This window comes from Homo sapiens, chromosome 7, assembly GCF_000001405.40.
Source record: "Homo sapiens chromosome 7, GRCh38.p14 Primary Assembly".
NCBI lineage: Eukaryota > Metazoa > Chordata > Mammalia > Primates > Hominidae > Homo > Homo sapiens.
Genome location: NC_000007.14, coordinates 139,282,169 through 139,310,100, shown reverse-complemented (window position 1 = coordinate 139,310,100; position 27,932 = coordinate 139,282,169). Strand labels below are relative to the sequence as shown.

Here is a 27,932-nt window from a genome sequence, read left to right as displayed (position 1 = left end):
TTCTTCCAGTGATGAGACAGGGAGAGGCCCCTTCCCATTTCTTTCTCCCTCTTTTCAACCAAAAAGTCACCTATTTGTTACACAAAACAACTTACTTACTCATGTTATCCAGGTTCATTGAAAATATATTTAAGTAAAAGGAAAAATAAGAAAAAGTACTGATACCACCACTCTACATTTTGGGGTGTTATGTTCTTTTGTATATTTTCTAATGCATGTATGTACACACATATGTATTTACACTTACAATCACCCAGGATGGAGTGCAGTGGCGCGATCTTGGCTCACTGCAACCTCCGCCTCCTGGGCTCAAGTGATTCTTGTGTCTCAGCCTCCCGAATAGCTGGGATTACAGGTGTTTGCCACCATGCCCAGCTAATTTTGTATTTTTAGTAGAAGACGGGGTTTCTCCATGTTGGTCAGGCTGATCTCAAATTCCCGACCTCAGGTGATCCACCGGCCTTGGCCACCTTTTAAAATTTAATGTTAATTGGAATTACATGAAAAAAGTGACCCATGCCAAATACTCTAGGTAAAATATGTTTTAAAAAAAAATTTAACAATGACACCTTTATATGTTAACATACAAGATGGTGAAAACACAGTTAAGTATAGTTAAATTACATAACCACAGGGTTTTCTCGTTTTGGCAAAAATCATCTTGAGGAGTACTGCTGACAACAACACACTTTTGCAAAACTGTCCTTAAATGTTAGCTAAAGGCACTTACAGTCCCCCTCATCCCCTAATGTATGAGGTCCATGTCTTTTTTAACTTCTTAGTTCTTTTCATCTTCATGACAACACACTGAAAATACACTTAAAAGGAAAAAATAAAAAGCACTCATACCATCACTCTATTTTGGGGTGTTATGTCCTTTTTGATATTTTTTCCTACAACCCCATTTCAGCAAGAACCTTTTTGATATTTTCTATGCAGATCACACGTACACTTATATTCACTTTCTCTGACAAGTTGCTTTCTCTCTCTTCATCGTTCTCCCACCCCTTACCTGAATTTCTTTTTTTTGTTGTTGAGACGGAGTCTCGCTCTGTCACCAGGCTGGAGTGCAGTGGTGCAATCTCGGCTCACTGGTTCTGACTCCCTGGTTTAAGCGATTCTCCTGTCTCAGCTTCCCGAGTAGCTGGGATTACAGGCACATGCCACCATGCCCAGCTAATTTTTGTATTTTCAGCAGAGACGGGGTTGCACCATGTTGGCCAGGATGGTCTCAATCTCCTGACCTCGTGATCCGCCCGCCTCTGCCTCCCAAAGTGCTGGGATTACAGGCGTGAGCCACCACGCCCGGCCTCTTACCTGAATTTCTAAGGTTGAATTATTTTTGTATGATTCCCACATCTACATTTCAAGTCCTGACCGTAGTAGCACCATCAAATACACACATACCCTATTACCCAAAAAACCTAGAGTGAGTCACAATCAAGGACTCCCACGCTCTGCCTTCCTCTACTTGTCCAAACATGCCCCTCACAGCAAATGCTCCACCTTCCTGATTTGGCCAAATTCCACCAGTTCTTGGAGGCCCACCTCAAGTGCCATCCACTGCACTGAGTCTTCCCACATTACTCCAGTCCCGTTTCTTCCCCACTGTGAACTCAAATGTCAGGTAGCAATGGAACACAAATGGACCAAAATGTAGCTTTGTGACAGATTTTGAACCATTATCTTTTAACTTATCATGTGACTGCAAATTGTGAGTATACTGGGAGGCAGGAGACTGGGTCCTTTACTTCTTGTACCCTATAAACCTAGCACAGTGTGATATGGACAGCAGATACTCCCCAACAGCTGAGAGTGTGATGTTAGAACCCAAGGTAACTCAATAACACAACAGACACGAGGATAGTATGTACATTCCTCTTTATTTAATACAACAACAAACACGTAACATATACAAAAAGAAAAAACACTCATTAAAAGGCCCTGTCACAAAGGATAGACAGGAAACATCTACACTGAATCAAATAAGGCTCTTGCTTCAAAAACAGGGGTTTGCTAGCTACACCTGGAATATGAGCAAGGCTGTTGCAAAAAAATTAAAAAAAAAAAAAAAACACAAAAATCCCTGCACTGAAGGAGTATATTCATGGGGGTAATTTACTAAATTCACAGGTCCATATTTAGGAATGTTTATGCCCTCTCACATATCCAAAATTCATCAGGGTTTTATGAAATGTGTGATTTTTTTTTGGTTAAAAAAATTTACCTGCCCTTCTTTTTTCTTAGGAAGGAGTGATAAGAGCTTTCTAAAAACTAGAGACAAGCAAACCATCCAAAGTGTGAAATGTTTTACCATTAAAGTTCAAAGGGCACGTAGAACTGAGAATGCAAAGGCAAGATGGCAGTGGGAAGAAGAACGTGACTTCTGCGTCATTTCCTGGTAGCTAGCGTTTAGTTAACCAAATGGAAATACCTCGGCTCAGTGCAGGGTTCAGTAGCAGCAGTTTGTCCATATTCCTGCTCCGATTTGAGCTGGAAATTAAACAAGCACCAGTTCATCTCAAAAGAGCCTTATACAAACACACACGCACACATACCCGCACCCATTCACATGTCATCACCACCCCCTTTTATTTAAATTTATTTTTTTTTTTTTTTACTAAAATACAAAAAAGGGAGACAGGTATATTTACAAAAATCCATGGCTGGTACAGTACATAATTTTTAAGACACACTAAATGCTACAATCTTTCAGGTCCTGAGATTATTACAAACATCAACTCAAAGCTTGTGTTCAGGTCCAGTTTTTAAAGGAGGAAAAAAAAATCCCAAAATATTAAGTCACACACTTATTTGAAATACAGTATATCCCTTCAAGTTAGCAAAAACACACCTCCCTATAAGCAAATGCAATACAGTAATTCTTGTCTTTCACCTAGAGGACCATCAACTCTTTAGGCTCCTTCAAGATTGGTTTTGAAACATGTTGGCATCTATGTCAAGTGTGGAGGTGGCTAATGTATGAGGAAGATGTAACTGGAGGGAAGTTCCTCTGCAGAGTGAACATTCACTGTATAAATACATCCTGTTTTTCCTTGGGCTACCAAACAAGTCTTTCCCTTATCAAAATTCACACCGAAGTATGTGTTTACCCAGACTAAAAATCAGAATCATTATTTCCAATCAGTTATAGCAAATAGGTCTGGAGTTCGGTAATCATTTTTACAACTGCAAATGAACTTTCTTGCTTGTAATAAAAGAGAGAAAACATCCATTACTTAGTTACCTTGGTAGACTTGGATTAATATATTATTTGGGGCACAAAATTTTCACCAGCTGGAGATCTATTTTCTTCTTTTAAGTTTGAGGGTGTTTAACAAGTGAAATCCAAGGGCAAGCCCCAGATTTACATACTCTCTGAAAGACCAATTTGGTATTTTTGATACTTTCTGAAATAAAGTAAGTTTTCAATGACAATCAACAAAAGGGCAGTGCAAAGCTTGAATCTTTTCTCTGGAGGCTTGCCATGGATCACAGGAAATACTTGTAGGCTGGGAACCTACCTCTAATGGGGAAAGGCCCATTGATTATCTGAAGGTCTCAGAAGGTATATGTAACTAATTACAAAGGCATAGCCAAGACTCAAAAATAGGTGACCAAAGTTGGCCAACTTTCCAATTAACTATGTATAACAGTAATACTTTTGTCAACTGAGAATAAGTTCTTTTTAATTCCTCTAGACAATATTGGGGTAACCCTTGGTAATTTTGCAGGTATAGTAAAGAAAACCCAATTTTCTGACAGAGGGCACACTAACCCTACAAACAGCAGGGATAAGCAAAAAAGGAGGAAAGCTTATGGCTGCAAGCACAGCAAACACAAGATAGTTAAGATCTGACAATTTAAGGGCAGGTTGCCACACAGAAAAACATGTCAACTGGCTGGTCTTGGTTGATACTCCTAAATGTGCTTTGAGGGCAGACGGTGTTGTTAACTTCAAAAACAGAAGTATTTCCATGTTATCTTGGGTAATAGTTATCTTGTTTGTATTTATTAGGTTTCCATTAGTGCTCTGTTATAAAATATTTAAAACACAGATTTACAATAAAATCATTATATTATTATTAGCAAAGTGGGAACAAATAATGTGTAGAAAATTTTGTGAGGAACAAACATAAAATTTGATTCATATGGCCTGTTTGCAAAAGTAGGCTTATTTCAGGGGGAGTATGAAAATAAGCAAGGCAGACTATTATGAGAAATAGCCTCTAATGAAGATCTCCATCTCTTTAGAATAACCTTGAAAAGTAACAAGAGGAAGTCATGAAATGCCGCATTATACAGTAGCAAAATCTATTTTTTAATACAAAGGAGAAGAGGAAAAAAAAGAACACCTCTAGTCCCAGTGATGACCACTGATGACTGTAAGTCCTAGACACAGAGACCCTAATAATACTACTGCGATTCTGAAAAGCATTCCTGACTTGTTTAACAGTTTGGAAAAGTGTCCGAAGTTTAAGTACTAACGCACTATGAAATGGAGATACACAGGAAAGACTGAAAAGTAGAACTATCACAATATAAGGAAATTAAAGATCACAAGTAGCTACTTTCAAGCAAGTGGTACTTTGAGAGTCTATGAGAAAAATAAAATTTAATATCACATTATTCAAAGGCAGTCTGATTAAAATCCTGAGAGTCCCTGCCTGAATCCTCTGCTGGGATGTAAAGTCTTCTAAAGCAGGCCTGCACAGGGCTTTACTTCTCAGTTCTATGGGGACACAGGATAGGTTGCCAGAGTGAGTGAGAAGAGGATGTAAAAGACAATTTAACCTTTCCTCCCCAGACTCCTAATATACAATTCATATTCTAGTGTAGCAATATGATTAAGAGCTCTGAATAAAGAATGAAGACTAAAGGAAACCAAGAAAGAAGAATTCAACATTAATATTCAAAGCTATTTTTAATTAGAGTTTGATCACCCATTCAGCTCTATAAACCTGAACATTGTGTCATATAATCTAAAACTCTCAGAATTGAACACTGGGATGATTTTATCATTAACAACCCAAAGACATTCCATGATACTAACTACAGCTTTGCACCAGTGAAAGCATCTGTAGATAGTTTTTGAATACAGAGTTCACATTTTACGATAGATGAACACACAAAGTATCTCTATTTTATGCTTCTGTTAATTTTCCCTAGAAGAACAAACACACATTCAACAAAAACCCTTATGCCTTATTTCTTTGGGTCTTAACATTTGTTATCTGAGAATGGAAAAGACAGGGACATGTGAAAAAAAAAAGGAGTATGTTTATCTGCATAGTTGATATTTAGAGGCTACTAAGGCCTTATCTGGAAAAAGCAACAAAAATCCAAAAAGTGACTTACAGACACACACACACACACACACACACACACACACACCCTATCATTAGAGATTCAGTGGACCTTAGCCAATTCTGGAAATTAACCAGATGCTTTGTCTGCTTGGACCTGGTGCTTTCTACTAACTCACTTGAACCTGGTAACACTGGTTCCTCATCCCCAACATTTTGCTTTCCTGACCCTGAATATGTGCTACAATTTAAATTTACACACACACTCCAACAATCGTTGCTCAGCATTTAGCCCCAACTAAAACTGCAGCATCCATTTTTCTTTTCCTGTTGCTATTATTTTAAACGATAACGGGAAAATTCTATGTAGTAGTACTACTTAATATACAGGGATGGAAGGTGGGATAAAATGATCTTCGTCTCCTCCTGGGAGCTGGGGAAAACATGTTTCCTTCTACCCTGACCTTCCCCACCCCGACCCAGTTAGAAAGTGAATCCTGCCTTCCGTCTCCCATTTTCTTACAACCTGAGCAGCTGATGGCTCCACCTCTTTCATGGGTTGAAGAAGCATGAATTACAAAGGTGCAATGGCTACAAGAGTATCCAGCTGACTGTGTGTAGTGCTCACCCCTTCAGTGCAGAGCTGGATACACCTACAGTTAATGGAATTAGTACACAATCTCTGATTTGCAAGAATGAGACATCATACTCATTCTTAGAAAGTTAAAAAGCTTAGCTATCCGTCCTCAAACAAGCAATAAAAGGAAATTAGACTGAGAAGATGGAAAAGTGAGACAGTTAAAACTTCCAGGATCATTTATCAACTCCAATAACCAAGCATCATAACTTTATCTAACTTTAGCTCCACAACCTTGACGAAAAATCACAGTAACACCGTAAAAGGCTAAAAAAAACTACTTAAACTTAGTGTTATTTCTCTCCCTTGTTAACCTGAAACTAAACATTTTATCCCACCTCAAAGATAATGTTTAAATAACAAATATGTATCTAAATTAAAATTCCAGTGATTTTTTTAAATTTAAAAACCATAGGGTGCTTTTTATACTCATTATAAGGAAAACATTTTTTAGCCTCTGCAGGAAGATGATAATACTATTTTTAATTATATAGGACATTTTACAAAAACTCAAAATATTTTTGAAATAGTAAAGTCTCTGATATCCCTGGGAGGTAGGTGAATATGATTATACCCAATTGTCTAATGGGTAATCTGAGGCACGAAGGTTAAACAATATTCCCCCTAGACATAGTCATTCAAGAATAACACTCGTGAATTCCAACTGCCTGGTAAGTTCTGCTATCAGGTAACACTACCAGGAGCTTCTGCTTTCTCCTTTTAAGCCACTAGTCTCTTCTTCTTCCCAATTAGAATGTATTGAAAGGGGGGCACTTACTAGGTATATTTGTACTGGGTCTGAGGGATGGTTCAACTTGGTCTCCCTTAACATGTCACATCTATTTGTTTTCAACAAAAAATCGATGAATCTTAGATACTGAAAATTATGTTATTTTGCTCAAGGGAGAAATCTAAATAACCATAAAATCAGATTAAGCCAAATGTAATTATCTAGCAAATAAAAAGCAAATGGAAAATCTCTCAAGAATGCTATAGATTATATGTTTTCCTCAGCATCTGAAGTCTTTCTACTTCTGAGTTTATTAACCTTTTAACAGATAGATATGCAGCTATATGATTTCTTCAAAAATCATTTTCCAGAAGAAAATATGATACATTTTTCATGTTGACAGTTGCTAACCTGCTTCTAAACTTAGACACCAAACTGCGGTTCTAACGCTAGCCTTGTCACATGTTTAGTCTAGCGCACCTTACCAATGTGACTTGCAAGGTACTCTTGTTATTCCAATGCTGTCTCCTATATTACTTATGCCAAGTTTAAAGAGCACAGAAAAGTGGGTTATATCCAAGAATAGTCAATGATTCACTAAGTTTATTTTACTTGTAGTAACTGACGTGTGTGTGTGTGTGTGTGTGTGTGTTGTTATTGTTAACTTCTACAAGCAGATATTCAAAGGGCGAAGGTGGCCTCTTGTGAAAAGATACTTTTCTATACTTTTATTTTCTTTTTTTGAGACGGAGTCTTGCTCTGTCGCCCAGGCTGGAGTGCAGTGGCGCGATCTCAGCTCACTGCAACTTCCGCCTCCCGGGTTTATGTCATTCTCCTGCCTCAGCCTCCCAAGTAGCTGGGACTACAGGCGCCTGCCACCACGCCTGGCTAATTTTTTGTATTTTTAGTAGAGACGGGGTTTCACCATATTAGCCAGGATGGTCTCGATCTCCTGACCTCGTGATCCACCTGCCTCAGCCTCCCAAAGAGCTGGGATTACAGGCGTGAGCCACCGCACCCGGCCGAAAAGATACTTTTCTAATCCACCCACTTTAATCAACTAAAAGCAATGGAATAAACAAGGCAGAAGTTTTGCAAACATGGAAAGGGGAGTGTTTGGAAAGGATGCAATGGTACAGCAGCTCCTAGTTTTATATATATGTAATGTATGTATCTTACACATATATCCATATACATAGAAAGCAAAGGAAGAGGGTTACACAGCATGACATGATGTTGACAAGTGTGAGATTCTTCCTCCTGAATCCCCTGACTTATCAGTCTGTACTTTAAGATAATGTGACAACAGTTTCAAAAGAGAGGAAAAAAGAAAGAAAAAAGGCACTTAACAAAGACAAAGGCCTGAATTGAGCATGTTTTAGAGGAGTAATATAAGCATTTTACCAGAGCTAAGAAATGATTTACAAAGAGTTAAACTTTTCCCCTTAAAATTTTATAAAATAAAATTGCATAACATGTTGTGATCATTTATCTACTACTGCACTTTTCTTCTGCTTCATTATTACAAACACAAAAGCCCCCTCAAAAGCAAAAAACAACAATCATACATGCACAATAGAAAGTAAAAGTGCCTCTTTTGAGAACATTAGGTCAGCAGAATTACAGTGCTGAAGCACAGGAAAGTTCTCAAGTTTGGCCTGATTATAGATTTTTCTCATTCTTCTATTTCCAACTTTAAAAAAAAACAAAAACAGAAACAAAACAAAAAACAAACAAAAAAAAAGCAAACAAATTCCAAACCTAAATAATAAAAACAACAAAGGGACCAGTGTGCTTTTACGGTACACTCCTAAAATAAAGTATCCTAATTCTATACATGAGTCAAACTAGAGGACAAAACATCCTAGAAATAAAGAACTGTAAATTAAAGTCAACCAATACAGGCAAAGTTCATTTTACAAATGTAGCAGCAAATATGATAGATCACTGGAGTTCTAAGAGATGATCCCAAAGGACGCAGAGTTCTCATAACCAATGGCAGTTTGAACAACAGCAGAATTTTCGTTTCAGAAAATGTCTTGAACCAAGTATAGGTGGAAAGGGGTGTGGGAGAGGGCAACCAGAGGACAAAGACTAGATTAGAGGTGCCTGCCCTTTCCAACCCTGGGTAGTAAACAATTTAGATCTGCTTTGGGAAAAAAATATCCTGGGTTAAAAATCATGTCCAATAAGTTGTTTTCAACCAGGTGTCAAACCCACAGTATTCCAACACATATGTGCCCGGTTCTTCCCCTTACCTTCCTGATTCAATAAACCCTATTCAATGTCCATGATATGAAAAATGTAATTTGGGCTAACAACATCCATCAGAGGGGGGGTGGGCACAAAAGAATGCACTATCACCATCTTCTAATTTCCGCAAAGTATCAGAATTTTATGACTACAGATTAGCCTCATTTCCTTTCCCAAAACCTTTTTCTTCAGGCTGTTTTAAAATCACGATTTCATTTACCCTCTGACCTCAAAAGCATACAAGAATTATAATTGAATTATAATGGAAATTATTGCTTGCATTTATTCTGGATGCTCTGAATGAGCTTGACACTTTGCTCCCAGTCTCCAACTGAGGCTCAGCACAGCTATCTCCGAGGACAACCCTGCTGACTGTTATTGCTTGTGAATACTGAGGATTAACTTGTATGTACAGTAACAGCTTATATATCAGTGAAGGCAATTTAAAATATAAAACAGTTGAAAACAAACAGCTTAATCTTCCTGAATCAAGAATCCCAAGGAGTGGGATATAATCATGTGTGCTGATTATTTTTGCATTTGGATGTTGCTAATGCTCTTCAGAAATACACGTTGCTCTATAGATATCCTTTCCAATGACTCACCATTTTAAAAAATAACATAATTTGATTTTTAAGTGCAAAAATACAGTATGAGTCACAAGTCTCTGTGCTAAAAAATAACCAATTTATATGTTTGTTTTTAGTAATAAAAACGGTAAAGACAGGTGACCATAAAGTATGGGCACCTTTTTCAATGTTATGATCTAGGAAAGAAATAGATTACTATTTACATGTAGAAACTCTCTGATCATACTTTATCTATACAGAAATACAACGATGTTTGACTGATTCATACAACATAAAAGGGGGGTCCTGACTGAAATGAATGTAAGTCGTCAGTGCAGGTGGGGGTTTAAGGTAGGGATCTGACAGTAGTCCTCAAGGAATCAAGACTAAAGAGAACACAGAAGAATCTCCACATTGTATTCTTGGAGCCAAGGGCCTTCAGATATTTTTACTGGTTAGTATAAAATGTTACAGGGAAAAGAACTGATTATCTTGTTCTTTTCTAATGATGACAGTCACCAGGGATCTTCATATGGCATGATTCAGAATTGATGGTTTTAAGAAATTCAAATGATTTTTTGACTCAAACTAGTCATTTATATGAATGTATGTGTGTATGTATATATACATACAGACAAACATATATACAAGTATTCAGGAAGAGAAATTAATACGCACTTCGACTTCTCTTGTGGTATGAGAAGTAAAACAAAGGCTACCTTCCCAAAGGAAAATCCCATCACTTCCCCTAGTATGAAGCAAAGACCTTTTTATTCATATTTCGTAAAAGCAAGAGGTCCACTACATTTGAAAAAATTAAAAAAATTGGGCAAGCTTCCTTAATTGAAACCAAGCAAATCTTCATCAAACATACTGAATTCAAGTCAAACCTCTCTGCAACATCCTCCCAGTATCCTTCCAAAATATCTACTGGGGTTCATACTACATCCATATTTGTTTTATTGATAAACTAAATTCTTAGAGTCAAGAAATTATATCAGTGATTCCTTTGAAATAATCCTTTCCCTTTACTGTAACAAGTTCTTGGAACTAAAGTTTTCAGTTATTTATTAACTTTTTCGCTATGAAGCAAGCCAATGTGACTTTGAAGTCAAAATATAGGCATACAGATCTGAACCGATCTGTGGTTATTTATTCACAGTCCTGTAGGGTATCTGGGACTTTTGTGTATAAAAGAAAAAAGGGCCTGGTTAATACTCTTAATTGAGTAAATCTAATGGTATAGGGTAATGTATAATAAACACATATGCAATAAATCTTGTCACTACCAGTCTATTTTTTTTAGGTTAGTGTCATTATAAATGGATGAAGCTTATACCATTTAGAGTTTACACCATTCTCTGATATAGTATGAAAATATTCAGAAGCTTAAAAAACTAGAATAATGCGGCAAAAAAACCCATCAAATCAAATGTATCCAAGGAGAACCATAAATTTTTCCCTTAACATCCTTTGTTGAATATGCTATTTGCATAAGGAAGCTATAATAACTAAGGAGTCTTATTTTCTGCAGATTTACTCACATACCAATACACTGAGTAAATAGTGAAGCTTTAGGATCTCAAATGCTCCAAACAATTTCACTACACTGGATACAGGGAGTAAAAATATGTCGTGATTGTGATCCTAATGTGATTCCTCCCTTTAAAATACCATCTTAAAAATTCAAAAACTATATTCATGCCATTTGAATGACCAATGAAGAAACATAGTGTACACTTCTACCTGTTTATACCAATAGCTAATAATCACCTGAAGGACCACTAGCTAAAAGAACAGAAGGAGAAGTTGTGAAGTTAGATGAACTGGGGAAACTTAGAGTTTATGTTGCTGCAAGGGCTAAAAGCAGCAAAGCAATAACCCTGTAAAGATCCCCATTTCTCAGGAGAAAAATGTGAACACAGTCACATTTTAACATCAAGAATGGAAATAAGAATTAACCAGTCAATACTAGATGCACAAATCACCTGAAGAAAAGAGTTAAGTACCTGCTTCTGAACGGAAGATGAAATTGACCCTTTTACAAAAAGGGGACATCTAGGTTTCATCTCTTAAGAGCAACAGGCTCAACTTCCTGATTTTTAAAAATCTAGATGATTTAATAATATATATCACTGTGCTAAAATAACTTTCCTGAAGGATCTTTAGTCCACTGATTGAGGGAAGTTGCTACACACTGGAGGAGATTCAAGTTTGTTCAGGATTTTCGAGGGTGTGCTATGCAGCTACTGTCTATCGGAGATAGAATCATTATTATTTCTTTTTGTGGCAAATCTGCTACACAGTCCATTCAAATAGACATGATCATTATTCCTGACAAACTGGCCTAATTCCAGTTTTTAATGCCTTTTATTACCAATTATGTCTGTAAGTGTTCAGATCCAACCCCCAGGATGGATGGAGTTTACCCAAATTCTCTTCACTTCCTTCTTCCTCCCCCGGGAAAAATCAAATTTGTATTTCTGTGGGTTTGACAACTGAGTCTCTTTCAAGTCTGTTAATACGGTAACTCTGTCATTCTTTAGAAGAGACCAAAGGTCACTAACTTTGCACAAAAGCATTTCTTCCTCCTGCACCTGGCTTTGCTCAAGTAATGTTTTCTTTTCTTTTTCCTCCTCACCACAGTGCTTGGGACGAGAGAATGTAAACATCGACAGAAACAGCAGCCCTATGACCACATAAGTACTTTCCCATCAGGTAGATTCCATCAGTCAACTAAACATTTCGTCTCCTTTGCTTGCTGGGCAGTCACTGAGATTTCCGTGGTAATTTAGTGTCCCCTTTACTTTGGCCTCCATCTGAGAAAAAGAGACGTTAAATTGGTATGGGTCCATATGTTACAAAAACCAGCTAACAAAAACAAAGCAAAAACAACAATTAACTTTTATCTTTTGTGGATGACATCTCTGAAAAGATATCACTTTTAATATCTTGCATGCCATATAGCATTATAGAGGTTGATAAAACATCATGGAGATAAAAACTCAACAACAATGATCCTCTTCTCTCAAATGACTGTGGTTTTCAGTGTTTTTTAAATATGATTTCAACAAGTATTTATCATTTACGTCCCAGCCAATTGTGTCAAATGCTGTGAGAGGGTTATAAAGGAACCAGAAGACACAATTCCTACCTCCGAGGGACCCACTACATCTTTCAACTCCTTTGGAAGACAGGTCAATTTCATTTTTTTTTTTTTGTAAGTGAAATAAAATTTCTTGCCAGGACACAGCATTTCATAATTCCTGATTATTTGTGTAAACAAACGTAGCAAACTTTTCATCTGTAGTGAAAAACATCCAGCTGAGTGTGTGCTCATTCTAACCTAGCTTTAAGTGACAGGAAAGTCTGCTACTGGGACAAGGCTCTTTCCTTTTTTTTTTTTTTTTTTGAGACGGAGTCTCGCTCTGTCGCCCAGGCTGGAGTGCAATGGCGCGATCTCAGCTCACTGCAACCTCTGCCTCCCAGGTTCAAGCAATTCTCCTGTCTCAGCCTCCCGAGTAGCTGGGATTACAGGCGCACACCACCATGCCCGGCTAATTTTTGTATTTTTAGTAGAGACAGGGTTTCACCATGTTGGTCAGGGTGGTCTCAAACTCCTGACCTCATGATCCACCCTGCCTCAACCTCCCAAAGTGCTGGGATTACAGGCATGAGCCACCACGCCTGGCTCTTTCTTTTTTTAAGAGAGAGTCTTGCTATGTTTTCCAGGCTGGAGTACACTGGCTATGCACAGGTGCGATCATAGCACACTATAGCCTCAAATTCCTGGGCTCAAGAGACCCTCCTGCCTTAGCCTTCTAAGTAGTGGGACTACAGGTGTGTGCCACCACACCAGCTCAAAATAATTTCTATTTTTACATACTGCTGTTTAAATGCTTGCAGAAAAAATGTTGATTACTTCATTTAAGCCTCAACTAAATTACCTACAAAAACTGGACAGGAGGAGAGGAAAGGGGGATACCAGGGCAAGGGTAAGGCCCAATGACTTGGAAAGCCAACAGAATATGGAGAAAGTCTCCAACAGGTCATGGCCTTAGCAAGAAAAATGAGGCCTCAAAGACAACCCATGCCTGACAGCAAAGGACAGGAGAAGGAAACCTTTTACTCTGAGGGAAGAGGCATGAATAGCAGAAATACACAGGTGAAAAGGAACAAATTTGACCAGGGTTTGGCAAACTACAGCCCATAGGCCAAATCTGATTCCCTGCCTGCTTTTGCACATGAAGTTTTATTTACAGTCATACTCATGTGTTTAAATACTCCTTATGGCTGTTTTTCACTACAATGGTCAGTTGAGTAGTGGTGACAGAGACCATATGACCTGCAAAGCCTAACATATTTACTATTTGGCCCTTTATAGAAAAATTTTACTGACCTTTGTTTTAGACTAAATAAAATTAATCAACATTAACTGAGCTCTTACTATGCACCAGGTGCCAAGCTAGAAGCTTTAAATCAATTATTTTTTATTAGATTCTCATATGAAGTCATTAAAAAACATTTGTTGTCTCCAGTTTACAAGCAAGAGAAAGTGATGGTCAAACAAGCCTACTCAAACTGGCAGTTCTGGAATTCAAAAATCCAAGTCTGATCCTCAAGTTCAGTGACTTACACTTTAAAATGTTTCTTAAAGGAAAAATTTTAAACTTTTTTTTTTGGGGGGGACAGACTCTCACTCTGTCACCCAGACTGGAGTGCGGTGGCACAATCAGAGCTCACTGCAGCCTCAACCTCCCAGGTGTAGGTGATCCTCCCACCTCAGCCTCCTGGGTAGCTGGGACTACAGGTGCACAGCACCATGTCCAGAAAATTTTCTGTATTTTTTGTAGAGATAGTGTTTCACCATGTTGACCAGGTTGGTCTCGAACTCCTGGACTCAAGCCATCCGCCTGCCTTGGCCTCCCAAAATGCTGGGATTACAGGCATGAGCTACCATGCCTGGTTGAAAAATTTTAAACTTTTTAACTTTAGTTATTTGGAAAATACTGACAGTCATATTTCCTTTCTCCCCTCGGAATAGCAGTGCTGCACAGATAAATTTGATAGTTCGTGTAAGAGCGAACACTGGGGTCTTTTTGAGCCACAAGAATCCTGCTTGTTTAATTCCTTGCAGGTGGCCACATTCATGCCAATCTGCCCATGAGTACACTACCCTCAGCTGGATTCATTATACCAAGCAGCTGTCTACACCCAGGGGGGGACATGCTTTAGTCACAGGGAAATTCTCTTTAGATATTTAAACTAGTCAGAGTTCAGGAAGATCGGGATTGCTGACATTTGTGCCACGACTCTGTGTTACCCATTTTACACAACTGTGGTTTTATACTCATTCTCAAGGTTAAGACTGAGACAGCTCACCACTTAGGTCTTTCAGAGGATTAATGGCAATCTGTTGCCTCAAGATTGCCCCTCAGTTCCCATCTCTGCACTGTGGTTAATGGTAAACTGGTTCAAAGGTCATTTTTAATGCAGTGGCCAAAAAAAAAAAAAAAAGTGAGGCCTAGTCAACTTCCAAAGTTAAGAGGGCAGCTAAGCAGTTATTTCTGCTCAAAAGATCCTGAAAATGGGCTTCAGAATAATATCAGTGTCTATGGAGGTAGACTGCTGGGGAAAACGAGAAGCTGGAGCCCAGTGTGTTATGCACATTGCCTAATCTGACTGCCTAATGTCAGATTTCAGAGCGATCTGGCTGCCTACAAGGACATAATGCATACAGCTTGGATCATATTAATTTTTTTTTTGAGACGGAGTCTTACTCTGTTGCACAGGCTGGAGTGCAGTGGCGTGATCTCGGCTCACCGCAACCTCCACCTCCTGGGTTCAAGCAAATCTTCTGCCCCAGCCTCCCAAGTAGCTGGGACTACAGGCATGCGCCATCAGGCCTGGCTAACTTTTGTATTTTTAATAGAGACGGGGTTTCACCATATTGGCCAGGCTGGTCTCAAACTCCCAACCTCAGGTGACCTGCCCACCCTGGCCTCCCAAAGTGCTGGGATTACAGGAGTGAGCCACTGTGCCTGGCAGGATCATATTAATTTCATCTCCGCTAAAATGCCAAGACATTTAATCACTAAGAATACAGGCCATGGAGTCAGACTTCCTGGGTTTGTATCTCAGATCAAGCATTTGTTATCTGGGCAAGTTGTGTATTATCTTGGGCAAGTTGCTTAGCTCTCTGATTCAGTTTCGTGATTGGTAAAATGGAGATCGTCATCTATCATTCAGGGGCTTGCTGTAAGGATTAAGTTAGCTAATCCACGTAAGCTGTCACAAGACTGGGGCATTTAGTAAGCTTTCAATAAATGTAAACTACTATCATTACTGTACATAACTTTTAACTATCTTATGAATCCTCTGATTAGTCGTCATTTCCACATAATAAACACCTTCAAAAAGGCTCTTTTTATATGTTACAGATCTCATCTACCTATTTCCTTCCTCTTAAAAGGAATCTGTTGCTAATGAGGAATGAGGATTCAGTCTATGAAAATTTGCATTTTCCAACCTTTGTCATTCCATTCACATTGTTTTCAGAAAAGTATAATCCATATCTATAAGCCTATACAAATAAGAAAGAGATGAAGGAGGTGGCGTTCTCACCGTGAAATGCTTGCTGTAAGTGTGCAGGCAGAGGTGAGTGGGAAAGCGTTGCTGCATGCTGAGCTCCTCCTGGCTGTAAACCCTTTAGTAAATCTGAGAGGAAAACAGACTTGTCAGTCATCTTTAAATCCAGATTTGAGCCCTTTTAGTTCAAAAATGAAAACTGATTTATGTAATGCAGGCACAGCACCTGACTTCGAAGGCCTTCTAAAACTAGAGCACGTTTTTGAAAATTTACTTATGTTAATGTATGTGTATGCACATAACCCAACACAACTGACTTCCTCTTAAAAATTTCATTAAGATGGAAATGTGGTATAGATAGCTTAAAAACTGTATATAAAACCCCAGTGTCCAATAATTTGACTTACTATATATAAACTGCATTTCTTAAAAAAAAAAAAAAAAACTATAATCTTCATTAACTCCAACTGGACTACTCTTAATTAGAATAAATTTGTGAGGTTTCCTGTTCTGTCAAGCTAGACAGCCCAACCAAATAGAAGAGCCCCACTTACTCTGAGTTAGGCTATGGTGGAAAGCGGCTGAGGTAGATCCCGAGGTGGTTGTCACTCCAGCTGTGTCCGTTCCAAAGCCAAATATCTCCAAGGGAAACTGGAAGGGCATGGTCACTGGAACAAGGCCACCCAGCATCCCAAAAGGAGTCACATTTTGATTTGTTACAGACAAAGGTGATGTCATGAGAGTCAGAGGTGAGGCATTAGCCAATAATGATGCTCCTGCTGTGGACTGTGCAGAAACCAGGGGTCAAAATACATAAGAAATAAAGCAACCCAAATTGATTTATTTTCTATAATATCCTCACAGATGCAAGACTGTGCCTTACATCTGCTCTGACAGAAACGTTGTGAGACAGGCTCTTCATTACCACGGTAGGTTCCTTAGACGCTGTTATTTTAGTGGCACTTACATGAACACCCACGCACTCTCTCAATCTACTAATTCCCAACCTTCCACTCGCACTCCTCCACTTTTGCCTCCTAGCCCAAACACCTGAACCATGAGTAAGTAATTCCATGCAATTTCAGCTCGGTCTCTGAAAATACTCACTTTACTATTTGTCTCATCATCTTTCCTGCAGCGGCTGCTGCAGACTGCTGCTTTCAGGGTCCTTCTTGGTATCCTTTACTGTCATCACATCAGCTTAGAGAGACGAGGCCAAGGTGTTCTTCCTCGCCATGAGCCTCACCTGCCCTTCTCCAAAGCTAACCACTTGACTTACACCATGAATTCTCACCGTGTAGAACTTTCCTGTATAAATATCTAGTACTGCACCTTTTCCATGTTTCCTCTGCCTTCTCATATACAGAAACTTATTATTTTTTTATAACCACACTGTTATTCTAGCTCTTCCCCAACTCCTAGCAACTATCTAATTTGTCTTCCTTTTATTATCAAACAGAATGACAGACTTCAGTTTCCTTAGTTCTAGTCTCTAACTCCTGAAAGCGGGTTTTCACCTTATTACTTTTCTGAAATTACACTCCTTGAGGTAAAAGACAAATTGGACAGTGTTTTCACACTCCCCTACCTGGGCTTTGATGCCATGTTTACGAATAAAAACACTGAAATCAGAGATACGCTAACATATTTGGACTGCAGGGAGGACTTTAAAAAAATAAATAAGAAATATGCCAACATGGATGGGCTTTCACAGAGAACTTACTTAAATATATTCCCCCTGCCCAAACTCCGCCCCCTTTTTTTTGAGACAGGGTCTCCTGTTGCCCACGCTGGAGTGCAGTGGTGCAATCACAGCTAACTGCCATCTCAACCTCCTGGAGGCTCAAGTGATCCTCTCACCTCAGCCTCCCGAGTAGCTAAGACTACAGGCACATGCCACTATACCCGGCTAACATTTTTTGTATTTATTATAGAGATAGGGTTTCACCATGTTGCCCAGGCTAGGCTCGAACTTCTGGGCTCAAACCATCTCCTCACTGCGTTGGCCTCCCAAAGTGCTAGAATTATAGTGTGAGCCAGAATGCCTGGCAAATACATTCCTATAGCTAGTTTAATTCTTTGAACAATTTTCTACATGGCAATTAAATCATTTTTTTCCATTTTGACTTTTTTATTTAAAAAAAATTTATTATTATTTTTTTTAGAGACGGGGTTTCACTCTGTTACCCAGGCTAGAGAGCAGTGGAACAATTGTAGCTCATGGCAGACTCAAACTCCTGGGCTCAAGTGATCCTCCCACCTCAGCCTCCCAAGTAGCTGGGACTACAGACAGGCGTGTGCCACCAGACCCAGCTAACTTTTCAATATGTTTTTGTAGAGATGGGGTCTGTGTTGCTCAGGCTAGCCTCCAACTTCTGGGCTCCAGCGATCCTCACACCTAGGCCTTCCAAAGCACTGAGATTATAGGCATAAGCCACCATGCCTGGCCAACATTTTTCTTTTCCATGTGCACTTACTTATCAACAGAGTTGATACAAATTTTCTCATTATCATATATTATCTATTATAGTTTCTGTCATTCTGAGATTTCTTTTGTAGCCTTATTTTACCAAATCCAAATTTTCCTGGTCAAAACTTTAACAGTTCTAAATTTGTATTTTTTTTGTTTTCCATGTTTTTTTTTTTTTTTTTTTTTTGAGACAGAGTCTCACTCTGTTGCCCAGGCTGCAGTGTAGTGCTGCGATCTTGGCTCACTGCAACCTCCACCTCCTGGGTTCAAGCAATTCTCCTGCCTCAGCCTCCTGAGTAGCTGGGACTACAGGTGTGCACCACCACGCCCAGCTAATTTTTGTATTTTTAGTAGAGACGGGGTTTCACCATGTTGGCCAGGATGGTCTCAAACTCCTGTGCTCAAGTGATCCGCCTGCCTCAGCCTCCCAAAGTGCTGGGATTACATGCGTGAGCCACCGTGTCCATCTAAATCTAAATTTGATCAGGAAAATGGAATTTGTTGACTATTTTAAAAATAACTAATGAATGTTAGCTCTTTCCAGTTTTATTACATGTATCAATGAGCATTATTAATTAAGGACTGATTATTTTAAAAATCTTTGTCCTTTTGCTTCTGGTGGGGTACTTCTTAAGTTAATGTATAAGAAAAATGCAGACAATCTTTCCACACACACATGCCACATAACATTACATATATTTATACACTTAAGAGGCTACACCACTGCTCAACAAACAAATGAAGAATATCCGCAAGCAGCCTTCTTCCTGGTTCTTTAACTGCCTCCCTCCCCTGTTCTCCTTTATTTGTTAATAAAAATAACAAATTTTACAACTGAAATTTATATCCATAGTTCTGGCCTCTCATCTCAATTTCCATCCTGCATATCTGAGAGTTAAGAGAATAATTCCACTTGAATATCTAGCACCAACTTGACATATCCAAAGCTGAAATCATCTTCTCCAATGGGTTCCCCCATCTTCTGTCAACTGCTTTCATCAGGGAATTCCATTCTTTCCAGTCCCTTAGGCCTGAAACCTTAGTTTTCAGGCATTATAAAATGATAACATTATAGTCAACAAACCCATTCTTTCTTTTTTACCAAAATTTGCTCTTACACTTAAGTACAAATCTTCACCACTCCATGTTTGAACCTGACAGTTTTTCTTATTTGCCTGTCTTTTCCTGTACTGTGCCAACCACAATATATAAAATGGGTACATTTAGGAAAAAATTACCAAGTTAGAAATAATAGTATCTTAATGCAACTGGGAAAGAAAAGATCCTGCATCAACTTAAAAATTAACCAGAGTTGGCAAGGCACGGTGGCTCATGCCTGTAATCCCAGCACTTTGGGAGGCCAAGGTGGGCGGATCATGAGATCAGGAATTCGAAACCAGCCTGACCAACATGGTGGTCTCTACTAACCCCGGTCTCTACTAAAAATACAAAATTACAATAATTAATCCATTAATACAATACAAAAATTAGCCAGGTGTGGTGGCGCATGCCTGTAATCCCAGCTACTCAGGAGGCTGAGGCAGGAGAACCGCTTGAACCTGGGAGGCAGAGGTTGCAGTGAGCCGAGATTGTGCCACTGCACTCTAGCCTGGGCAACAGAGCAAGACTCTGTCTCGGAAAAAAAAAAAAATTTAACCAGAGTTGCTTCTTCTAATCATAATTCTACTGCAGTCTTGGGATGATAAAGAGTCTCCAAGGCTGTGTGCCCCAGTTGGAGTTCCCTAGTGAGGAACATTAAATACTGTTAATAAAAGGAATCTTTTAAAGCTTTTCTGAAGGAGTGTAATTGAAGCATTAAAATAGATGCAAAATGAGGGCCAGGTGCGATGGTTCACTCCTATTATCCCAGCACTTTGGGAGGCTGAGTTGGGTGAATCACCTGAGGCCAGGGGTTCAAGACCAGCCTGGCCAACATGGTGAAACACCGTCTCTACTAAAAATACAAAAATTAGCTGGGCATGGTGGCGTCTGCCTGTAATCCCAGGTACTTGGAGGCTGAGGCAGGAGAGCTGCTTGAACCCTAGAGGCGGAAGCTGCAGTGAGCCAAGATTGCACCACTGCACTCCAGCCTGGGCAACAGAGTGAGACCCTGTCTCAAAAAAAAAAAAAAAAGCAAAATGTAAATTAGGGAGGGCAATTTCCAAAATTAAATAACTCAAGTATAGCAAAAAAGTGATACTATGCCATAACTGTCTAACATTTTACACTTTCAAGTAACTTCTATATCCACTTTAATTTGTTTATAAATATAAATGGAAGCATCAGATAATCTAAATGTGACATGGGTATTTGCAAATCTCTCTATCCTAAAAGATGGAGACCTTTCAGCAGTGGGGTACTCCAATGTTGGTATCATCTGGGATCATGCACAAGAAGTCAGCATGAAGCAGGTAAATAGTTCCAGATTATGCCCCATAATCAAAAATACTTTCCGTGACCTCTACATTTTATTCCCAGGGGAAAAAACATTGAAGGGAATCCTTGCTCTTCCCGTAGTGGGCATTAATTTTTTTTTTTTTTTTTTTTGAGATGGCGTCTCCCTCTGTTGCCAGGCTGGACTGCAGTGGTGCAATCTCGGCTCACTGCAACCTCCAACTCCAGGATTCAAGTGATCCTCCTGCCTCAGCCTCTCAAGTAGCTGAGATTACAGGCACGTGCCACCATACCCAGCTAATTTTTGTATTTTTAGTAGAGATGGGGTTTCACCATGTTGGCCAGGATGACCTCAATCTCCTGACCTCGTGATCCGCTCACCTCGGCCTCCCAAAGTCCTGGGTTTACAGGCATGAGCCACCACGACCGGCCGCAATTAAATTTTTTTTTAAACCACATACTCTACTTTGGTGAGTGCACTGGTCCCCTATTCCCCACAACGCCCAGAGTAAACTTTTGAAATGCAAATCAGACCATATCAGTCCCCTGTTTAAGAACCTCCAATAGCTTCCCACTGCACAGAGAATAAAATCCAAAGTCCTTACTGTGGTCCACAAGGTCCTCCATGACATGGTTCTGGTCTCTCTCTGATCTCATCACCTACCACTCTCTCCCCATGGTCCAGCCATGCAGGCCTTCACTTCAGGCTCTTTTCCATCTCAGTGTCTTCATACAACTGTTCCCTCTGGCCTGAACTATTTTCCCCCTCTTCTCTACACATGGCTGGCTTCTGCTCATTCAATTCTCAAATCAAACATTACCTCCTCAAACCTTCTTAACCTTTTTTACGTTAGCAGCAATCACTTTTATCATATTATCCTACAATTTTTTCACAGCATTTACCACATTTTGAAAAAACTTGTATTTTTCCTTGTCTTCCTACCTAGACTATATGTGTGAGTATGCTGTTCATCCCTATATCCCCAGCACCTAGAAGAGTGCCTGGCACATAGTAAACACTCAATAAACATTTGCTTAATGAATGAATGATGTTTGGAATTATAAAGTGGCAAAGACAGGATTCACAGAAAATCAGTAAGTTGAAGGGTAAGAAAGAGGAGGAAACCCCTGTGTGGAAAGTTATTAAACAGAAAGCAAGCAGAGCTAACAACCTGAACCCAGAAGGAGTTTAACTTTTGCCATTTGTTAAAGGACCTGTCATTTTCACTCTGCAAATGAGCAGACACCCACAGATGCCTTTCAGACAGAAGGTGAATGCTTTACAGGCATAGATAGGAACTCTGTTTTCAGTGTTGGAGAGCTATAGACAGGTTCTAGAGGCCACAAGATAGCTGGTAAGACTTTATTGAGACGCTATGTTAAAACAAAAAGAACCTTACTTTCGCCAAAGGGTAGAAATGACCTTATTCAATTATTAATCTTTTCTTCAGTCAAACCAGTAAGACAGAAAAAAAAAAAAAAAAGATCAGATATGAAGGCAGGAACACTTCAGTCTCCAAATCATAAAGCCATTTGGGAGAGGAAGAAAACCAGGAGGGAGTAGTTAGTCTTCAGAAACTCATACTTTGCCAAGTAGCCTTCATGCTGACAAACCAATTATTTGTTAGACAGTATAGGGGTTCTTTTGCAATCAATAATGAAATACAGGAAGATCTCTGGGAACAAAATAGAACTGACAGACTGTAGAGATGACAAAGGATGAAGAAAGATTTAATCTTAAGTTCAAAGAAAATGAAGCAAATGAAAATAAAAATGAATTTTTAATTCCAGAAATAACTCCCCAATTTTTTATAAAATTGATAAAATCAAGACTTTTCCATTTATTATTATTTAAAAACAAAAAGAAGAAAATGCTGAGAGAGTTAAAAGTAGTTAACCCTAGGAGGAGGATACGGGGCAGGGAACTACCATTTATGCTATCTTTTCACTTATTCCTTTGATCAAATTAAGAATTAATTTTAAGAAGAGTAAACTATTTAATAAACAGTAATGCAGACTAACTCCAATCTTCCATATACCTTTTTTTTCATAAGGGAAGGCCTTTATTCATCCATCTCCATATACATTTTAACATATAATCCCTAGTATCAATGTTTTTATTATTTTATTTCTGATGAAAGTAAATGTATATACATAAAACATCAGTTAATCCTAGATTTCAATTAATGAATTACCAGTTAGCTGAATTTGTTCTTCATTAGAATTCTGGCATCCAGTCATTCCTATGCCTACATTAGTAGCAGAATGATGATTTGAATATACAATGTATATTGAATATCAACCCTTAGACTATATTGAACAGCAGGAAACCTTGACATACAGCAAGGGGAAACTCTTCTCATTACATGTTCCTGTTCCACATAAATAGGAGACAGTACAAAGAGCACTTCCTTAGACAACACAATTCCATAAATAAATAAAAGTTATGTTTTCAAAGAATATTTAAGAACCTAAGAACTTGCATATCATAAAATGGTATTTTTTTTTTGCCGGTTATAAAACGAAATATTATACAAAACACATTTTGTTGAAAAAAGTCTTAAAAAGTACCTACAAAGCATAAACAGTATTGGATTAATAGGTGATTTTTATTTTCTTTTTTCTAAATTTGCCTTCAATGAACATACATTACTTTCAGGGGAAAAAAGTTAAAGAAACTAAATCATTAACATAAAGGACAAATCTGAGAAAGTGTCAGAATACAAAGAAGTGGCATAGAGATGAAAACAATAACAGAAGATGATATGGAAGACAGAGAGATAAAATATAGGCCCGGCGCAGTGACTCATGCCTGTAATCCCAGGACTTTGGGAGGCGGAAGCGGGCAGATCACTTGAGGTTAGGAGTTTGAGACCAGCCCAGTCAACATGGTAAAACCCCATCTCTACTAAAAATATAAAAATTAGGCCAGGTGTGGTAGCTCACGCCTGTAAGCCCAGCACTTTGGGAGGCCGAGGTGGGCAGATCAACTGGGGTCAGGAGTTCAAGATCAGCCTGGCCAACATGGCAATACACTGTCTCTACTAAAAACACAAAAATTAGCTGGGCATTGTGGCCCATGCCTGTAATCCCAGCTATTCAGGAAGCTGAGGCAGGGAGAACTGCTTGAACCTGGGAGGTGGAGGTTGCAGTGAGCCGAGATCATGTCATTGCACTCCAGCCTGGCAACAGAGAAGACTCCGTCTCAAAAAAATAATAATAATAATAAATAAATATACAAAAATTAGCCAGGCATGGTGGCGGGTGCCTGTAATTCCAGCTACTCGGGAGCCTAAGGCAGGAGAATCTCCTGAACCCGAGAAGCGGAGGTTGCAGTGAGCCAAGATTGCGCCACTGCCCTCCAGCGTGGACGACAGAGCGAGACTCTGTCTTAGGGAAAAATAAAAAATATATATATAATAAAGAGTTCTCAAAAAACTTACGATAAATGGATCAGAAACAGTAATCAGACACATAATACAATAAAATATTCTTGATCTAAAATAAATAACCAGTTCTGAGATGGAAAGCTATTACTATGTTCTAGGTATACAATTAATGACAACTAGGCAGAGAAAACACATTAATGATAACGGAACAAAAAGAGAATGAGAAAGAGTCTGAGAATGGCCTCAGACTTCTCCATAATCCTAAATACTAAGCAAGAGTCAGTGGAGTAGTATTTACAAAATTGGGAGTGGAACAGTTAGTGCCCCAAGAAGGCTACGCCTACTCAAGTGTGACAGCACAGAAAGAAATTATCAGGTGTACATGAGCTAAGGTAAAATAGCATTTATGCTACCCTTTTTTTTTGAGATGAAGTTTCGCTCTGTCACCCAGGCTGGAGTGCAACTCCTGACCTCAAGTGATCCTCCTGCCTTGGCCTCCCAAAGTGCTGGTATTACAGACACGAGCCACCATGCCCGGCTACCCTTCTTGAAAAGATTGCTTGAGTGAGGCACTCAGCTAATTGAGAGGTAAGTTTAAACTAAAAATTCACGAACGGGAAAACTGTGGTATAAAAGGGCGACTGACACTAATTTGACATAGAAAATTATATATAACTACAAAATTAAGCAAAATAAAAATTTCGAGAAGATAAATGATTTAAAAAATAACATGAATGTATAAATTTGATTGAAAAATAAGAAAATTGGCAGGAGAAAAAGGGAAGGGAAGAGCTAAGCGAATGTTCGTTAAATTCCTAAGTTACTACTTTGTTCTGGACTTTGATAAGAGAGAAAGTTTGAAATAAGCCATTTTAGTTTTGTTTTGTCAAATAATTTTAAAGTTGATTTAGTGATGGTTGCTTGTAATGAAGACATCGTTCTGTCAGACAGCTGAATGCTGGTGCACCTTTGTTACTTAAAAAAAAAAAATCCATATCCCAACAAACACCTCAACTACAAGTGTGCCTGTCACTGTGATGTCAGCATCAGGAACATTCCATGGCTGCAGGCTGTAATAAGCCAATTGAGAACAATCCACATATCATAAAAAGCTTATTAAAGTTACCCACAAGAAAGACGACATTATACAATCTTATAGTTTATCACATGGACGTACAGAACATACATACCTGCACACTGGCTGTTACCACTGAAGACCCTGAGGCAGTGGATGGTCTATGTGGAGTAGACAATGGTTTGGTAGCACCCTGTGTTCCACTTCCTGTTCCCCCAGACAGACTAGTCCTATTAGCTCCGCTTGAGTTAAGGTTGCTACCTCTGCTGGCAGGTACATTCATTGCAATTCCACTCAAGCTGTTCTTCCCAACAGTTCCAGTGGATGATGAGTTTGTTAGCTTTGAGGGGGCCTGAAGATTTTTTGTAGGTGGAAGGCCTGAAGTGCGACTAGAGGGCAATAAATTCAAGGTGGGAGACTGTCTGCTGATGTTCATTCCACTGGGCTGTTTATGGACTGGGCTGTTAGTGCTGGAGTGGCTACCCTGGGCAACTAGTGCATTTGGACTGGAACTACTTGGGGATACAGTAGGCTTGGGAGTTGGGTTGGATTTAGAAATAAGTTTAGTTGATACTGAAGGCTTAGCTGACAGAGAGGGCTTGGGTGAGGCAGAAGGCTTAGGCGAGGGCAGGGGTTTAGGAGATGTGGCAGGCTTGGGAGATGCGGCAAGTTTTGGGGAGGCAGCCATCGAGAAGGGAGATTTGAAACCCTGCGTGGAGATCTGTGACACCATAGCCTTGGCTAAATAGTTACTGGAGGTAGTGGTGCTAGGTACTGTCCTAGAAACCAGGGGGTGGGACCCTTGAGAACCATTTCCAGGTGAGGGGGTAGATAAGGGAAGGCGGTACATAAGTGGCTTATCTGAAGTCTTAATAAGTGAGGAGGAACAGGAGAGTTGGGGATTATTACTTAACTTCACGACGGGGTTGGTCTGGGATTTACTGATGGTGGCCTGTAATGGAGACACATAGTTCTGCTGGACAGCTGAATGCTGGTGCACCTTTGTTACTTGTGTTAACGAAGAAGCATCTTGGGCCTCGGATGTTCCCAGAGCATGAGAAGAGGCAGCAATTTGGGCTTGGGAAGAAGAGGAGACATGGGTCTGTGAAGAGGAAGAAGTGTGAATCTGGCTTGACCTCTGAAGTCCTTGTTGAAGTAGCCTGGCTGGCAAAGGTTCTAAAGAAACTTTAGGGTTCTGAATGGAAGAACCAGCAATAAGGCCTGAAGAGATGCCAGTATGAGCTAAATCCTGGGGTTTCTTTGGTACTGGCCCTGTGTGACCAGCAATAAGACTTGAAGAATGTGTAGTCTGAGTAGAATCTAGTTTTTTGGGAGTAGCTAGTGGCAGCTTACTCATGATACTTGCTAATTTTTCTTCTCTCAGTCCTGGACGAGGCTTTGTGGTTGGCATGCTTATCCTTGAGCCAACTGGAGGGCCCTTGTTCCCATTGTTGATAACCGCTAAAGCTTCAGAAACAAGATCCAGTGAAGGTGAATGGAAAGAAAGGTCTTCATCTAGTGAGTCGTCGAGGCAGATGGTTTCTTGGGCTGGTGCAGAGCTAGAGCTAGCTGCAGCAATGGCAGCTGTGCTGGAGCTCGTTGGAGGACCGCTAACCGAAGCCACCAGGGATGTTGGAGTTTTCTGGTCCTTTTTTGGACTACACTCCTAATGTAAAGCATCATATGGAAAAAAATAGAAATGGTGAATAAAAAATTACAAAGTTAATTTTAAATAACTAAAAGATTCTCATGACAATTACAATTGTTTTTCTACTGGAAATCTTCAGAGACTATCAAAACAAAAATAATTTTTGAGATGACAGAGCTCCTGACTGAGCTGTCCTCACAAGACAAAGTATCTGATATATTGCACATAGCTGTCATACTTAACACCAAGTGGAAGGAACATTCATATACTAGTTACATTACTGATGAGCCTCCCCCACCTGCATTAGATCTTCAAATCCTGCTCCAAATCCATCTGTTCAGATTATTCTCTTTTTATTCCCCTGCACTCAGAATAAATTCTGCCTTTATATTAAGACTCTCCCCTTCTCGTCTGGGATGGTTTGCTAGGAGGCTGACCTTCACTTTCTGCTTCCATGCATTTCTGCCTCTTTGTATGCCCTGTCCTGCAGCTACCCTACAGCCAGTACATAGAAAAACTGGTACGTCAAAGTGGCAGACGATTCAATCCAAGCATAAATAAATTATGCTATTTATTATGGTGAATCTGTAATTTATTTGTAAATTACTCATTTGTCATTTATTCAATATATATCCACTAAGTGTCCGCTGTGAGCAGGGCTCTATGCTAAGAAAACAAGGGTATTAAGAATTACAACTCTGAATACCTAAGAGTTGTTAGAGTCTGTTTCTCAAATAATCAACCTTCTTAATATTTAAGAAAAAGAACTAGAGCACAGTTTATAATATTCAAAGAGCAAAATAATTTAAAAGCAACTATTTATTTTTAAAGATAAAAGTATTTGACTCATTTTATTTTTAAGACTGAGAAGCA

The 27,932-nt window shown here is 39.2% G+C and overlaps 1 protein-coding gene across 8 annotated transcripts in view, besides 2 other annotated features; it reads right to left on the bottom strand.

The window, feature by feature from the left end:
* The window catches only part of UBN2 (ubinuclein 2), a 99,192-nt gene that overhangs the window by 20,328 nt on the left and 50,932 nt on the right, over nucleotides 1-27,932 (bottom strand). For 7 of the 8 annotated variants that reach the window (NM_173569.4, XM_011516002.4, XM_006715916.5 and 4 more), the window contains 4 exons: nucleotides 25,527-27,077; nucleotides 16,638-16,869; nucleotides 16,120-16,212; nucleotides 1,865-12,314 (listed from right to left, as the gene is read on the bottom strand). In NM_173569.4, coding sequence (NP_775840.3) covers nucleotides 12,265-12,314; nucleotides 16,120-16,212; nucleotides 16,638-16,869; nucleotides 25,527-27,077 — 1,926 coding nt within the window. In that variant the 3' untranslated portion in view covers nucleotides 1,865-12,264. Of the gene's footprint in view, nucleotides 1-1,864; nucleotides 12,315-16,119; nucleotides 16,213-16,637; nucleotides 16,870-25,526; nucleotides 27,078-27,932 lie in introns of those variants that run through there. The other variant, XM_011516003.3, reaches the window with a different exon arrangement.
* Nucleotides 692-1,891: an enhancer, noted in NCBI's record as "MED14-independent group 3 enhancer chr7:138992956-138994155 (GRCh37/hg19 assembly coordinates)". NCBI's record gives its function as "activates an origin of replication core promoter dependent on BRD2, BRD4, P300/CBP and CDK7 cofactors, and independent of MED14, by STARR-seq in HCT116 cells {active_cell/tissue: HCT116}" and the evidence as "EXISTENCE:reporter gene assay evidence [ECO:0000049][PMID:35650434]".
* Nucleotides 15,359-15,527: a silencer, noted in NCBI's record as "fragment chr7:138979320-138979488 (GRCh37/hg19 assembly coordinates)". NCBI's record gives its function as "represses an EF-1alpha promoter that drives an FKBP-Casp9 reporter gene in an ReSE screen in phorbol 12-myristate 13-acetate-treated (for megakaryocytic differentiation) K562 erythroleukemia cells {active_cell/tissue: K562(+PMA)}" and the evidence as "EXISTENCE:reporter gene assay evidence [ECO:0000049][PMID:32094911]".